Here is a 13296-nt window from a genome sequence, read left to right as displayed (position 1 = left end):
AAGTGCTGGGATTACAGGCACACGCCACCATGCCCAGCCCCCAAAGTTATAAATTTTAAAACGGGGACGTGAGATACCATGAAAGTCACCACTGCAGAAATATTATAAGGGCTATTATGATATAAGGCAGTAAAATTAAAAGTAAGAAATAAAATCTGATTCCAAATCACAAGATTTTTCTTTACTCAGCAGCCCTACTCTGCGGCAGTTTGAGCTTTACAGGTTGGTGCAGAGTATTTTTGCATAATTGTCAGCTTAGCTTTAGTGCTCATTCAAAATGACTTGTTCCTCCTAGAAAGTCAGCCCCCTGAAGAACTGAGCCTGTTCAAAGAAGCCTCTAAGGCTTCCCTTTTTATAAACTGGATGTGGTAGGCCAGAATTATCCAGATAAGCTGTTTCTGTTTGGACAGCCATGCAGGAAAGGGGCCAGTAAGGCATCTTGCAATGTGATGGGCTAGGCAAGCCAGAGCTGCTTCTGTGTGCCCGGAGTGCCAGTTCCAGGAGCTCCCACCTGCTGCCCAGGTGCCCCAAGCCAGACAGGCCTCTCCTCACCATCTGCCATGAGCTGGGTGTCCAGGAGAGCCAACAGGTACTCCCTCACATGCTCACCTGCTTCTACCTATACAACACACACAATTACTCTGGCCTCGGATATCTAACTGTTAGCCCGACCACACACCTCTGATTTATGAAGGGAGTGAAGCATCCTCCAGACACAGAAGAAGTGAATGCAACAATGCAACACATAAACGACTATTGGCAGTAGCACCTAGCTGTGTGAGATGCACAGGCTTTGGAGTTAGAGCCAGCTGGGATTGAGTCCTTGCACTAGCTGTGTGACTGCAGGCGGGTCACTTAGCTCCTCAAGGCTGAGTGCTTCCTTTATAAAATCTAAGCCACAGTACGCTCCTCATAGAGGTTTTAAGAAGACAAAACAGGTAACATGTGTGAAGTGATGGGCACACGCTTGGTGCTGAGTGAAGGGCTGCTCCTGAAATCATTGTGTATGTGAAAGCACATTGAAAACTCCCACTCTCCACTCAAGTTAGTTATCCATGGCATTTGCTGTCATTAGCAGATGCTATCAAAATAAACACTAGTCAGACATTTCAGAAAGTTCAGCCAAGCAGGAACAGGTTCCTTTTCTGCTTATTGCACTGTGGAAGCAATAAGTCAAGGATCTCTTCGTTCAGTCATTATTTTACATTCATGAGGCCTCTCCATGAGAGGAAGCACCTCACCCCCTTTTTAAAATGAGGTGTACCAACCTCCACTGAAGGTTAGTTTAAAAAGGGATGATCTCTCTGGCTCCAGAAAGCACTGAGTATCATGTGAAACTTTTTCCCAAGGAGAGTTTGAGGGAGGGACTACCAGAGGAGGTCAGGGCCTGGGCTTCCAGACTGCATTTTCACAGGCTCTGGGGCACAGAATTCTGTTGAGAAAAATTGGTAAAGGGCATGGCCTTGCCCCATGTCAGTCAAATTCACTCTTTAAAAATTCCATTGCAATAATATTTTTAGATAAAACAAAACAAACCTGGCCTTCAGGGACAGCTTCCCTCATTCTGTCAGTTTGGACATGGCAAAATGCTACGCAATAAAAGATTGTGATTTTGTGTTAGAGACTGGAAGAGCCACAGCTCTCAATGTGTGGGCCCGAGACTGGCAGCCTCAGCAGCACCTGGGACCCTGGCAGAAATGCAAATTCTTGGGTCCCATCCCAGACCTGCTGAATCAGAAACTCTGGGGTGGGCCCAGCAATCTCTTTTTACTGGCTGCCCCTCCAGGGAATGCTGATGTGCACCCAGGTTCTAAAACCACTGACTTAGTGTAGTGGGGTTTGCCCTGTAGTTAATTGGTAGGGAACTTTCACTACGTACTTGTATACATGATACTCCTGTGAGATTGGATCTCTAAGGAAATTGAAGATCAGTTAAGTTGTGACTTGCCCAGAGTCTCACAGCTGATAAGTTGCAAAGCCAGGATTTGGGCCCAGGTCCCTCAGAGGCCCAGGTATAGGAACAAAAGGTAACAGATGAAAGTTCGGGCTCTGGAGCCAGAGTGTCAGGGTTGAGATCCTAGCTGGGTCACTTAAGCTCTGTGTGTCCCCAGGCAAGTTGGTTAACCACTCTGTGCCTCTATTTCCTCATCTGCAAGCCTCTACCTCATGAGGGTTTTGTAGAGATTCAATAAGATAATTCTTGTAAGGCAGTTGGAGCAATAGCTGGCATATAGTAAACACCCAGTAAGTGCTTTTTTAAAAATTGTTGTTGTTATATAGCCTCTCAGAATTGTGGGGTGGAAAAAATACATAGCATCTTCCCTTGGGTCTTTTCCTTGGCATTGACCAACGTGATAGTCCAAAATGCCAATAAAAACAATCAACAGCCTCTCTCTCCCCGAAGGCTCTTTCAGAGGCCACCTATTCCAGCCCTAAAGAGGCCCCCGATACTCGCTTGAACCCCATAAAATAGCCGTCCCTTCATTGAGCCAGCCTCCTTCGTGAACACATCACATGCCAACTGCCCAGCTATACATAGCTCAGGCCTACTTTGAGGGCGGCAGAAAGTGACAGGAGATTACCGGAGAGAAACGTCGGCTCTCTGGTTTCAGGGAAGGACACACAGTTGTTGAATTGCTTGACATGTTGCCAGATGGCATGAGGGACAGTGGGTACAAACAGCCGTTTGGCTCTTGGCTTACATGAAAAGAGCAGGGTTACAGCCAGGGTGTTTTTAATGACTGGCCTGAGGGACATTCACTTGGAGCAGAGATCTGTGACATTTTCCCCGAGGCTCAACTTTTTTTTTTTCAGATTCTTGGCCCTGCAGAAAGTAATCCCCACCCACCTCCCTTCAACAAGTAACCACCTCCTTTTTCTTTATGACCCTCCACCTCCCCACCTTCCCTCTGACTGTGTAGTAAATTAGTCTTTCTCCTCTACAAAGACAGTTCTTGGGAAATGGTACAAATATAACTTTCTTCCTGTCTTTCCCTGGGTTAGAGCTGGTAAGTCCTATGAAGAGACTGGATTGGGTGGGGTCTTTATGGAGGTATTGGATGTGCTGCCCTGGGAGCCCCAGCGGCAGTCACGCAGCACAGGGCGCCCCTCTCGCCTCTGTGTGACACCTTGAATAAGCGAGACACACCTGCTCTAACATGTCTTTGCCACCCACCCAGCAGTTTAACTCCCAGTGCTTGGCTTCTGTCTCAGCTCTTCTCTAAAAGGTCACCCGTGACTTACCAGTCCTGAGATGAGAGGCCTCATGGGGGTCCTACCCCTCCTTGACTCCCTGCAACATTTGATATGACCACCCGCTCCTTTGTGACTCTGGAGTCACTACACCAGGATCCTTTCTCTCCCCGCACTTCTCCCATAGCTCCGCTCTGCCTCCAGGGTAGGCTTCTTTCTCTTCCTTCTGAGACAGCCAGCCCTTGACCCTGTGGCTTTCTTTCATACTCGTCTCCCAAAGATGTCACCTGTCCTCAAGCCTTGACCTCTCACGCAGGACCTCTCCCCCGAGCCCTAGATCAGCACCTCCGGGTCTGGGCTGGACTGCCGTGACTGTGAACTCTCTGGGTCTGAATCCATGCTGAGAAGCTTCCCCAGTTCTGTCATGCCCTCCTGCCATCACTGTGTGTCCTCCACTTTGTTTCCTCATGGGAGACCCTCAAACTATTTTGCCTCCTCCCTCTTCTTTGATCTCTCTCCCTTTTCTCTCCAAAACCAAGGAAGACTTACCAGGTCTGACTGATTCTCAACTTGTAGCACCACCTGCACGTGTCACTTTTTCTCCCACTGACACTGTCTTGGTCTGAGATCAGAGACATCTCTCACACAGACTAGGACATCAGCCTCCCAACTGGTGGCCTTTCCTTTCCACTCTCCTTTCTGTCTGCTCTACGCACTCAGATCCACTCTTGCCAAACACAACTTAGTCATATTACTCTTCTACTCAGACGATCCCCAAATCAGAGCTTCCAGTCCTAGTAGTTAAGTCCTTCACACTTTTTTTCTAATGTGATTTTAACACAGGACTTCTTTCAGCACCCCAAATAAGCCCACTGTTCAAGCAGGTCAGCCTGTTCTCCTGCACACCCCTGCACATTCCCACCTGCAAACCTTTTCTTATACCATTTCTTCCTCCTGGGATGCCCTTGCAGCCCCCTCCGCCTATCCACACACTCCTCCTCCAAGTTCTAGCTGGCCTCCCCTTTTCTAAACAGCCTCCCTCTTCATTCATTCATTTACTGAAGAAACTACCGCTTTTATTTGTTTTTATTTTTTATTTTTGAGATCTAATCTGTTCAGGTATTACGCTAGGTGCTGGAGATAGCATGGGAGAAAAACAGACGTGGACATAGAGCTTACAGGCTACAACATGGACAATTGCTAGACAAAGAATCATATAAATTAATGTGCACTTGCAACTGTGAAATGGTTGCAAAGGAAAAGCATGGAGTGTGATGATCAAGGGTAAAAAGGGAAAAATTGAGATTGGGAGTCAGGGAATGCCTTTTGAGGAACTGACATTTAAATGCAGACTTCAAGGAAAGTAGAAACCAGCAAACAGTCGGGGAAAAGGAATTCTATTTGGAGTGAGGGGTGTGTGTAGAAGCAGAGCATGTGTTGGTGGCTTTGTGTGAATTAGAACAAGGCGTCCCTGCAAGAAGCTGAAGCTTCAACTGGCCTAGGGCTTGAGAGCACAGCTGAAGGAGGTGATCCTGTGCAAACACCTGAGCCAGGAATAAGCTTGATGTTTTGCGGAGCTGAAGACAATTGTATTAAGTAAGAAATAGAGTGACCCCAGATGAGGCTGGAAAGACAGGTGGGACAAAGAGTGCAGGACATTCTTGGCCATGTTAGGGATTTAGGTTCATCCTGAGTGCATGGAAATTTAATCCACAGTATTCATCACAGCCCACTGGGCTCTGCAGGATTTGACCTCCCAGCCCACAAACTCTCTAAGTCTCCACAGCCCTTATTTTTTTGTCCTACTCCTGTAGCACCTAGAGCTATTTTTTTTTTTTTTAAGATGGAGGCTCACTCTGTTGCCCAGTCTGGAGTGCAGTGGCGCAATCTCGGCTCACTGCAAGCTCCACCTCCAGGGCTCACGCCATTCTCCTACCTCAGTCTCCCGAGTAGCTGGGACTACAGGCTCCTGCCACCAAGCCCGGCTAATTCTTTTGTATTTTTTTTAGCAGAGATGGTGTTTCACCGTGTTAGCCAGGATGATCTCTATCTCCTGACCTCGTGTTCCGCCTGCCTCGCCTCCCAAAGTGCTGGGATTACAGGCGTGAGCCACCGCGCCCGGCCCTAGAGCTATTTTTTTTTAATGAATTTCCTACCTCCTTAAATCACAAGGCCCTTGGAGCTGACACGTGTCTTACACATTTTTGTTAACACAGTAGGTTCTCAATTAATAATTGTTCTCTTTCCATTATAACACTTTACACTATGGCATTTTTGAATTGGCACAAGATCCAGAACCCTAGCCAGCTGTCATAATATTAAGAAGAAAATCTAATGTTTACTAAGCACTTACTGCATGCCAAGAACTGTGCCAAGCACTTTACATGCATTATTTCAGTTAATCATCAAAACAGTCCCATTGAATAGATATTGGTATTGTCCACTTTTTACACTGGAGTCACAGCACAGGCTTGTGGACAAGTCAATAATACGGGTCTCTGATTCCAAGCCCTGTGCACTTAACAACTGGGACATAGTATCCATGAGTCATTTATTCATTCGAAGATGAGATCTACTTGGATCCACCCTGTCATTAGGTGCGATACATACCTACAGGATACAATCTTTTAACAAGAGTAAAGCTATATTATAAATATCCACTTCTTTCCTATTGAATTATGCATATTATTTAAATAGAATTTTTAGGCTGGGCGCGGTGGCTCATGGCTGTAATCCCAACATTTTGGGAGGCCAAAGTGGGAGGATTATTGAGCCCAGGAGCTCAAGACTAGTCCTGGCAACAAAGCAAGACCCTATCTCGACAAAACTTAGACAATTAGCCAAGTGTGTTGGTGCAGGCCTGTAGTCCCAGCTACTCAGGGGACTGAGGTGGGAGGATTGCTTGAACCTGGGAGGTCAAGGCTTCAGTGAGCCGTGATTGTGCCACTGCACTGCAGCCTGGGCAAAGGAGTGAGACCAAGTCCCAAAACAAAACAGAACAAAACCTTAAGGACCTTAAAATAACTTTTAAAAAACACTTTTTTGTACTTAAAAGAATCAGCAATGGTTAAAGCAAATCCTAATGTTTCTAGAAAGAATGAGCACTGACCAATGCCCAGAGGCTGCATATAACCAACCGATAAGAGACAACCCCATTCACTAGGATGGACTATCTGAGAGGTAACTGACCAAACAAACAAAACCAGCAGAGAAACAGTTGTACGTCAACAGGAGAAAATTGCAATCCTATATGAAAAGTCTGTACTAGTTTTCTGGGAATTTAGGAGATATATTGACTCTACCTTTTTTTCTCACGTATGTAACTCTTTGTCACTGTATTTGATGACAAGTGCTTCTAACTCCTTGGCTCACAAGGCCCTTGAACTTGTGAAGTACTTGGACCAATCCACCCATTCATCCACAAGTATGCTGAGTGTCTCCAAGAAACTGCAAGATACAAAAGAAGCACAAAACAGGGTCCTTCTTCTTATGGAGGAAAGAGTCACAATGTAGAGACTATACACAACTCTAATGATTACACAATAAGTGCCAGAGTACTGTGCCCTTGTGAGGGGCTTTTTGAGTTCCAGAGAGGAGAATGGGGTGAAAGATGAACATGGAGCTGCGCTCTGCAGCCAACGGTGGCCAGGACTGGTAGCGACCTGAGAATGCAGTGAGACTAGGTTGCAGGAGAGAAGGGAACATGTGAGCTGCAGATTTAGGGCCAAAGTAAAGGTGGAGGCAAGGCCAAGCCAAATGTGAGAGGTAGACAGACTCCTGCCTGCCCCACTGGCCCAGCAGAGGCTCCTGGCTGCCATGTCAGGAATCACCTACCTGGCACCCTTGGCTCCCATGAAGGAGACTTGCTAGGACTGGCGGCAGTGACCACAGAACTCAAGTGGGCAAGTTTTGGGTCTTATCAGCGTGGGAGGCAAGAGTGATGGGAATTCTGGAGGGATTTTGCCTAAGGGTGCCAAAGAGGAGGTGGGAAAGTCTCAGTTAGGCATGGGATCCTGGCCCATGTGTTATTGCCTGCTCTGTTTCTCCATCTATGGCACAGGACAGTGATTGGCTGTATTTAGTTAACCAGGGAATCGGGAAAAAAGAATCGAGTTCATTTGAGATAGCACCTCCCACTCATAAATCTTCAAAAATCACATATAAATATCCATAAGATAACCAGAAGGCCATGCTTTACATGCCTACGAGAGGCACACATTTGGATCTACCTAAAACCAAATAAAACATGGTAGTGCGTACCTAGGAGAGATCAGAGTTAAGTTCTCTGTTTAATTCTCAGAGTTAACTTCTTATTTTATGTCATTGGTTATTCTTACTATTATTAATACATCTCTCCTATGCCAAAGGTAGAGAGAGGGGCTTAAAGAGCCCAGCAGTTAGAAGAGCACTGTGTCATATCACTTTGGATGTGCTGACAACCATTTATAGCAGTGTTTTTCAGAGTCTGTCTTGAGATCTGCTGTATTAGAATAATGGGGTGTGGTAGTGTGGTTTATAAAAACGTAGATTCCTGAGCCCCACCCAGGTCTATTTTCTACTGTATTGTGCTGAGGCCCAGGAAGCCCCACTTTAGTCCCTGGGTGATTCTTATGCACACTGAAGTTTAAGAACCACTGTCAGAGGCTCACGTACTAGGAGTAAGGAAACTTACTATACCGCAAAGCCATTAGGTACCATCATTACTGACTCTGAGTGATATACAAGGGAACATTTAACTTAAGATTTTGACAGCACTAAATAGAACACAGGGGCTTATGTTGGAAACCAGAAAAGTCATTAAAAAATGGCTTTGTCTAACAGATTAAATGCAATAGAGTGAAGCCAAGTGACTTGCAGAAAGGTTGGTCTGTTTAGGCACTGCAGAAAATCTCAACATGAGTCATACATAAACACTGATGATGCCTTTCATCTTAAGTGTTGCCTAGTTACAGGCAAAATAAAAGAAATAAGAGAAAGCTGAATGAGGGGTGGGGGTGGGGGTAGGCTTATTTGTTACCTGCCATTCCACTCCCACCCCTCAGTCCCCAACCACCAGAGGTATTCCTCGGAGCTGCTCTTGGTGCTTCTGCTCACAATCCTTGCTCTTCGAAGAAGGGAAACAGTTAGAAGCCAGAGAGAAAGAAAGAGGCTGGGAACAGATGAAAAGGTCTGGGAGGGAAGAATAAATATGCAAAGAAAAACCTTAAGATATTCAGAAGAGGAACTCTGAAGGAGAAGACACAGATTCTAGGAACAATGAAAGGAAGACATAAAAATGAAGAAGATATCAAAGAAACAAACATAGAAAAGAAAGTAGAGGGATTTATAGTATGAGTTGTAGAGCCAAACAGATCCAGGGTCAAACCATCAAGAAGACAATAAATCCTAAATGTGTCTGGACCAAACAATAGAACTGAAAAGTACAAAAAGCAAAAACTGATAGAACTGAAAGGAAAAATGAATAAACCTCTAAGAATGGGAAAGAAACAAAAAATTTAAGAAAACAAGACATTCTTACCACTCTTATTCAAAATAGTGCTAGAAGTTCTCACCAGTGCAGTAAGTAAAGATAAAGAAATAAAATGGCATGCAGAAAAAGGAAGAAATTATTAGCAGGTGACAAAATTGTCTACCTAGAAAAATCCCAAGGAATCTACAAAACAAAAACCTCTTAGAACTAATAAGTGAGTTTAGCATTAACATTAACAAATTAATTGTATATCTATATACTTGCAATAAACACATGGACATGAAAATTAAAAATACAATACAATTTACAGTAGCTGAAATAATTTAACTGATTAGATATAAATCTAACAAAATGTGTGCCAGACTTGTAGGCTGAAAACTATACAATGCTGATGAAAGAAACCAAAGAAGATCAAATAAATGGAGACATACCATATTCATGAATTGGAAGACAACATAGTAAATATGTCACTCTCCCCAAGTTTATACACAGATTTAATGCAATTGCTATCAAAATTCTAGTAATATTTTTTTTTGTGTATAAACAAGATTATTCTGAAGTTTATACAAAAATGCTAAAGGACTAGGATAGTTAAAGCAATTTAGAAAAATAAAGAATAAAGTGAAAAGAGATAGTCTACCTGCTTTCAGATATACTTGATCCTAGCTACTGCAATCAAGACTATGTGGTGTTGGCAGAGGAACAGACATATAGAGCAATGGAACAGAATCGAGAAACCACAAATAGACCCACATGAATATGCCAACTGATTTTTGACAAAGTTACAAAAGCAATTGAATGGATGAAAGACAGCCTTTTCACCAAAAAATATCGGAACAGTCGGACATCTATTGGCAAAAAAAGAAAAAGGAACCTCAACCTATCTTAAATTTTATCAAAGTGAATCACGAACTTAAATATAAAATGAAAAACTATAAAATTTTTAGAAAAAATAAGAGAATTCAGGATCTGAGGCTAGACAAAGAGTTCTTGGACTTAATATCAAAAGTACAATCCATGAATGAAAAAAGTGATCAACTGGACTTCATCAAAATTGACAATTTTTGTTCTGTGAAAGATCCTATTAAGAAGATGAAATGATTAGGATATTGAATGTTCTCAACACAAAAAAGTGATAAATATTTGAAATGACAGGTATGCTAATTACCCTGATCTGATCACTATACATTATATGAATCAAAACATCACTGTGTACCCTATGGATATGTACAATTATTATTTGTCAAATCAAAAAAGAAGATGAAATAACACACATACAGAGTAAAAAAAAATGCTTGTAAACCATATATCTGAAAAAGGACTGGTATTTAAAAAAACTCTCAAAATTCAACAGCCAAAAAGCAATCCAGTTGAAAAATGAGCAAAAGATGTGAACAGGCATTTCATAGTAGAGAACATACACATGGCAAATCAGGACATTTAAAAATGCTCAACATTGTTAGCCATTAGGAAAATGCAAATTAAAACCACAATGAGATAGCACTACATACCCGTCAAAATGACTAAAATGAAAAATGGTTATGCTACGAAGTCCTGACAAAGACGTGGAAAAACTGGATTATTCATACCTTGCTCATGGGAAGGTAAGACAATACAGCTACACTGAAAAATATTTTGGCAGCTTCTTTAAAAACTAAACATGTAACTGCCATACAACCCAGCAATTGTACTATTAGACATTTATCTCAGAGAAATTAAGACTAATATTTAACTCAAAAACCTATACACTAAACTTTATAGCAGCTGTATTCATACTAGCCAATCACTGGGAACAACCCACATATCCTTTAATGAGTGAATGATTAAACAAACTATGATACATTCATACCATACATTCTACTCAGCAATAAAAAAAAAAACAGCGTATCGATACATGCAACAACCTAGACAAATCTCTACATAATTACACTGAGTGAAAAAAGTCAGTCTGAAAAGGTTACATACTATATAATTCCATTTACATAACATTCTTGAAATGACAAAATTATAGGAATGGACAACAAATTAGTGGTTGCCCAGGGTAAAAGAGGGGATAGGGACACGAACCAGTGGGTGTGACCATGAAGGACAACAGAGCGATCCTTGTGGTGGTGGAAATGTTCTGTATCTTAACTGTATCAATGTTAATATCCAATTTGTAACATTGTACCTCCGTTTTGCAAGATGTTACTGTTGAGGGAAACTGGGTAAAATGTACAAGATATCTCTCTGTATTATTTCTCACAACTGCATGTTAATCTACAATTATCTTTTTTCTAAGTTTAACTAAAAAAAGTAGTATTAATATTTCATGATCTGTCTGGTAGCATCTCCATTCTGTTTCTGTTTCAAGTCCCTGTTCAAACAGATGGCAAGAATTAGGTCTCAGTCCTGAAGTAAGCAAGTATTGCCTACTTGCTCATATCTGCATTGCAGGAAGCTTAACATAATGCCAATCTTGTGCTTGATGTCATCATCTATGCTGGTGTCTACCCAGAGAAGTTTTCAGCTATCTGTCCATCTAGGACACTGCTGCATCCTCTTGGCCTTTGGAGCCGAACCCCTGACCCCCGATACTCTACTAGTCTCAGTGTGCTTCAGGAAACCTTGAGAAGACATCTCAGGTCTATTCACCCAATGGGCATTCCTACTTCACAAGCCCAGGAGTGGGGGAATTGAGCGCAATGTTTGGATATTGAGGACATAGGCCTCCTTTATTCTTAGGTCCTCTTGTGTTCCCACTCTGCCCCAGGTACATTTGGCAGCTAGAGAAGGGCTCAGGGCCCCTTGTCAGGCACCCATGCTTCCTTCCTGATTCTTCTTTCTCCCGATCCAGGTTTTATCTACTCCAAGGGCAGAAACTGGTATGTGACAGTGGATATATTCTTCCAAATTTTCTGTCTTAGGTCTGCTCCTCAGATTTTCCCTCCTTGATTCTCAGCATTCTCCTGAATCATCCTTCCCCTGAGGGGACAAGAATACATTTCCTTTGCTGCTGCTCAACTTGGTCACATAGTAACAGCAAGTATAGAGGAAACCCTTCCATTGATACATGAGGATAGTAATCCTGTAATATTTTCTACCATCTTTCTGCCCTTAGCACACTCATCTTTCCATTTGTTTCTTCAGCTTGTGGCCCAGGTCCTTGAACATAAAGCTATAGGCTTTGTGATGGTGGATGCCAAGAAAGAAGCCAAGCTTGCCAAGAAACTGGGTAAGTGTGATTTTTGAGATACTGTATGTGGGAAAGAAACGAATGTGTCTTGCAAAAGGAAAAGTACAGTTGCAATTATTCTTGCATAAGCGGACTATCTTTTAAAATATATAAAATGATCCTGCATACCTTCATCTTTGGTTGGAGAAGAGTTTCATAAAAGTAAATATAGGCCTGAATTGAATGGTTTCACATTAATCATGTAAGAGATTGTTGTATCAGTACGATGAAGAGGGTTTCTTCCTGGAGAAATTGATGCTAAAGAGTCAAGCTTTTATTTTCAGCTTCTAAAGCAAGCTAAAAGTCCAGCTTCTCTTATCTCACCACTGTGGTGATCTCTCTGAGAGAGTTAAAAATTCTCTTCTTTCATCATGTATTATTTCGTTGCCTTGCGGCTGAAGCAGCCAACAAAAGACAGCATTAATAGTAATAATTCCAGGGTAACAGTGCTTTTTAAATTTAAGGTTAAACCCCAGTTGGGCATTATCACCAAGGATGAGAGGGGAGGACATAGGTGAGGTATGGTTAAGTGACCGCACATGGAAGTTGTACTCTCTAGTGTCGATATGTCATGCTTAAGTGCAGTGCACTTTAGGATTCACAACCCTGTAATCCCAAAGAGAGAGAATGGAGGTAGTTCCTCTGGTTTTCTTTTTCTTTTCTTTTTTTCTTTTTTTTTTTTTTTTGAGACAGGTTCTCACTGTCACCCAGGCTGGAGTGCCGTGATGTGATTTCAGCTCACTGCAACCTCTGCCTCCTGGATTCAAGCGATTCTTGTGCCTCAGCCTCTTGAGTAGCTGAGATTACAGTCACACGCCACCACGCTCAGTTCATTTTTTTTTTTTGTATTTTTATGAGAGACAGGGTTTCACCATGTTGGCCAGGCTGGTGTTGAACTCTTGATCTTGAATGATCTGCCTGCCTCAGCCTCCCAAAATGGTGGGATTACAGGCGTGAGCCATAGCTCCCGGCCCGCTCCTCTGATTTTCAAACACTGACACACATGTACTGCCCATTTGGCTTTTTCTGCATGACCAGTGAAGAATGGCTATTAAAAAAAATAGCGGGTTATAAAACAGGATCTTTGAAGAAAGGTTAATTGGATTTGGAGTAGTAAGTACAGAAAAAAAAAAAAAAAGATTAGTGGTGGCTCAGTGAATACTTTCAGGTACATAAAAGTCCGTTATCCTGGAAAATTACAGACAACTGTTTTCTATTTTATTTTCAAGAAGACCAGTCTTTTTTTAAAAAAAAGATTTAAATTATAGGAAACTATTTAGGACTATACAATGATAATGAGTTATTAAGAATGTCTGGGCACTTTGGGAGGCCAAGGGCAGAGGATTGCTTGAGCCCAGGAGTTTGAGACCAGCTTGGGCAACATAGAAAAACCTCATCTCTACAAAAAATTTAAAAATTA

The 13296-nt window shown here is 42.4% G+C and overlaps 1 protein-coding gene across 1 annotated transcript in view; it reads left to right on the top strand.

Moving 5' to 3' along the window:
- Positions 1-13296, top strand: part of CASQ2 (calsequestrin 2) — a 68694-nt gene that overhangs the window by 12011 nt on the left and 43387 nt on the right. The window contains exon 2 of the mRNA NM_001232.4: positions 11792-11876. Within this exon, the coding sequence (NP_001223.2) occupies positions 11792-11876 (85 nt within the window). The remainder of the gene's footprint in view (positions 1-11791; positions 11877-13296) is intronic.

Source organism: Homo sapiens, chromosome 1, assembly GCF_000001405.40.
Source record: "Homo sapiens chromosome 1, GRCh38.p14 Primary Assembly".
NCBI lineage: Eukaryota > Metazoa > Chordata > Mammalia > Primates > Hominidae > Homo > Homo sapiens.
This window is presented reverse-complemented; position numbering and strand designations above follow the sequence as displayed.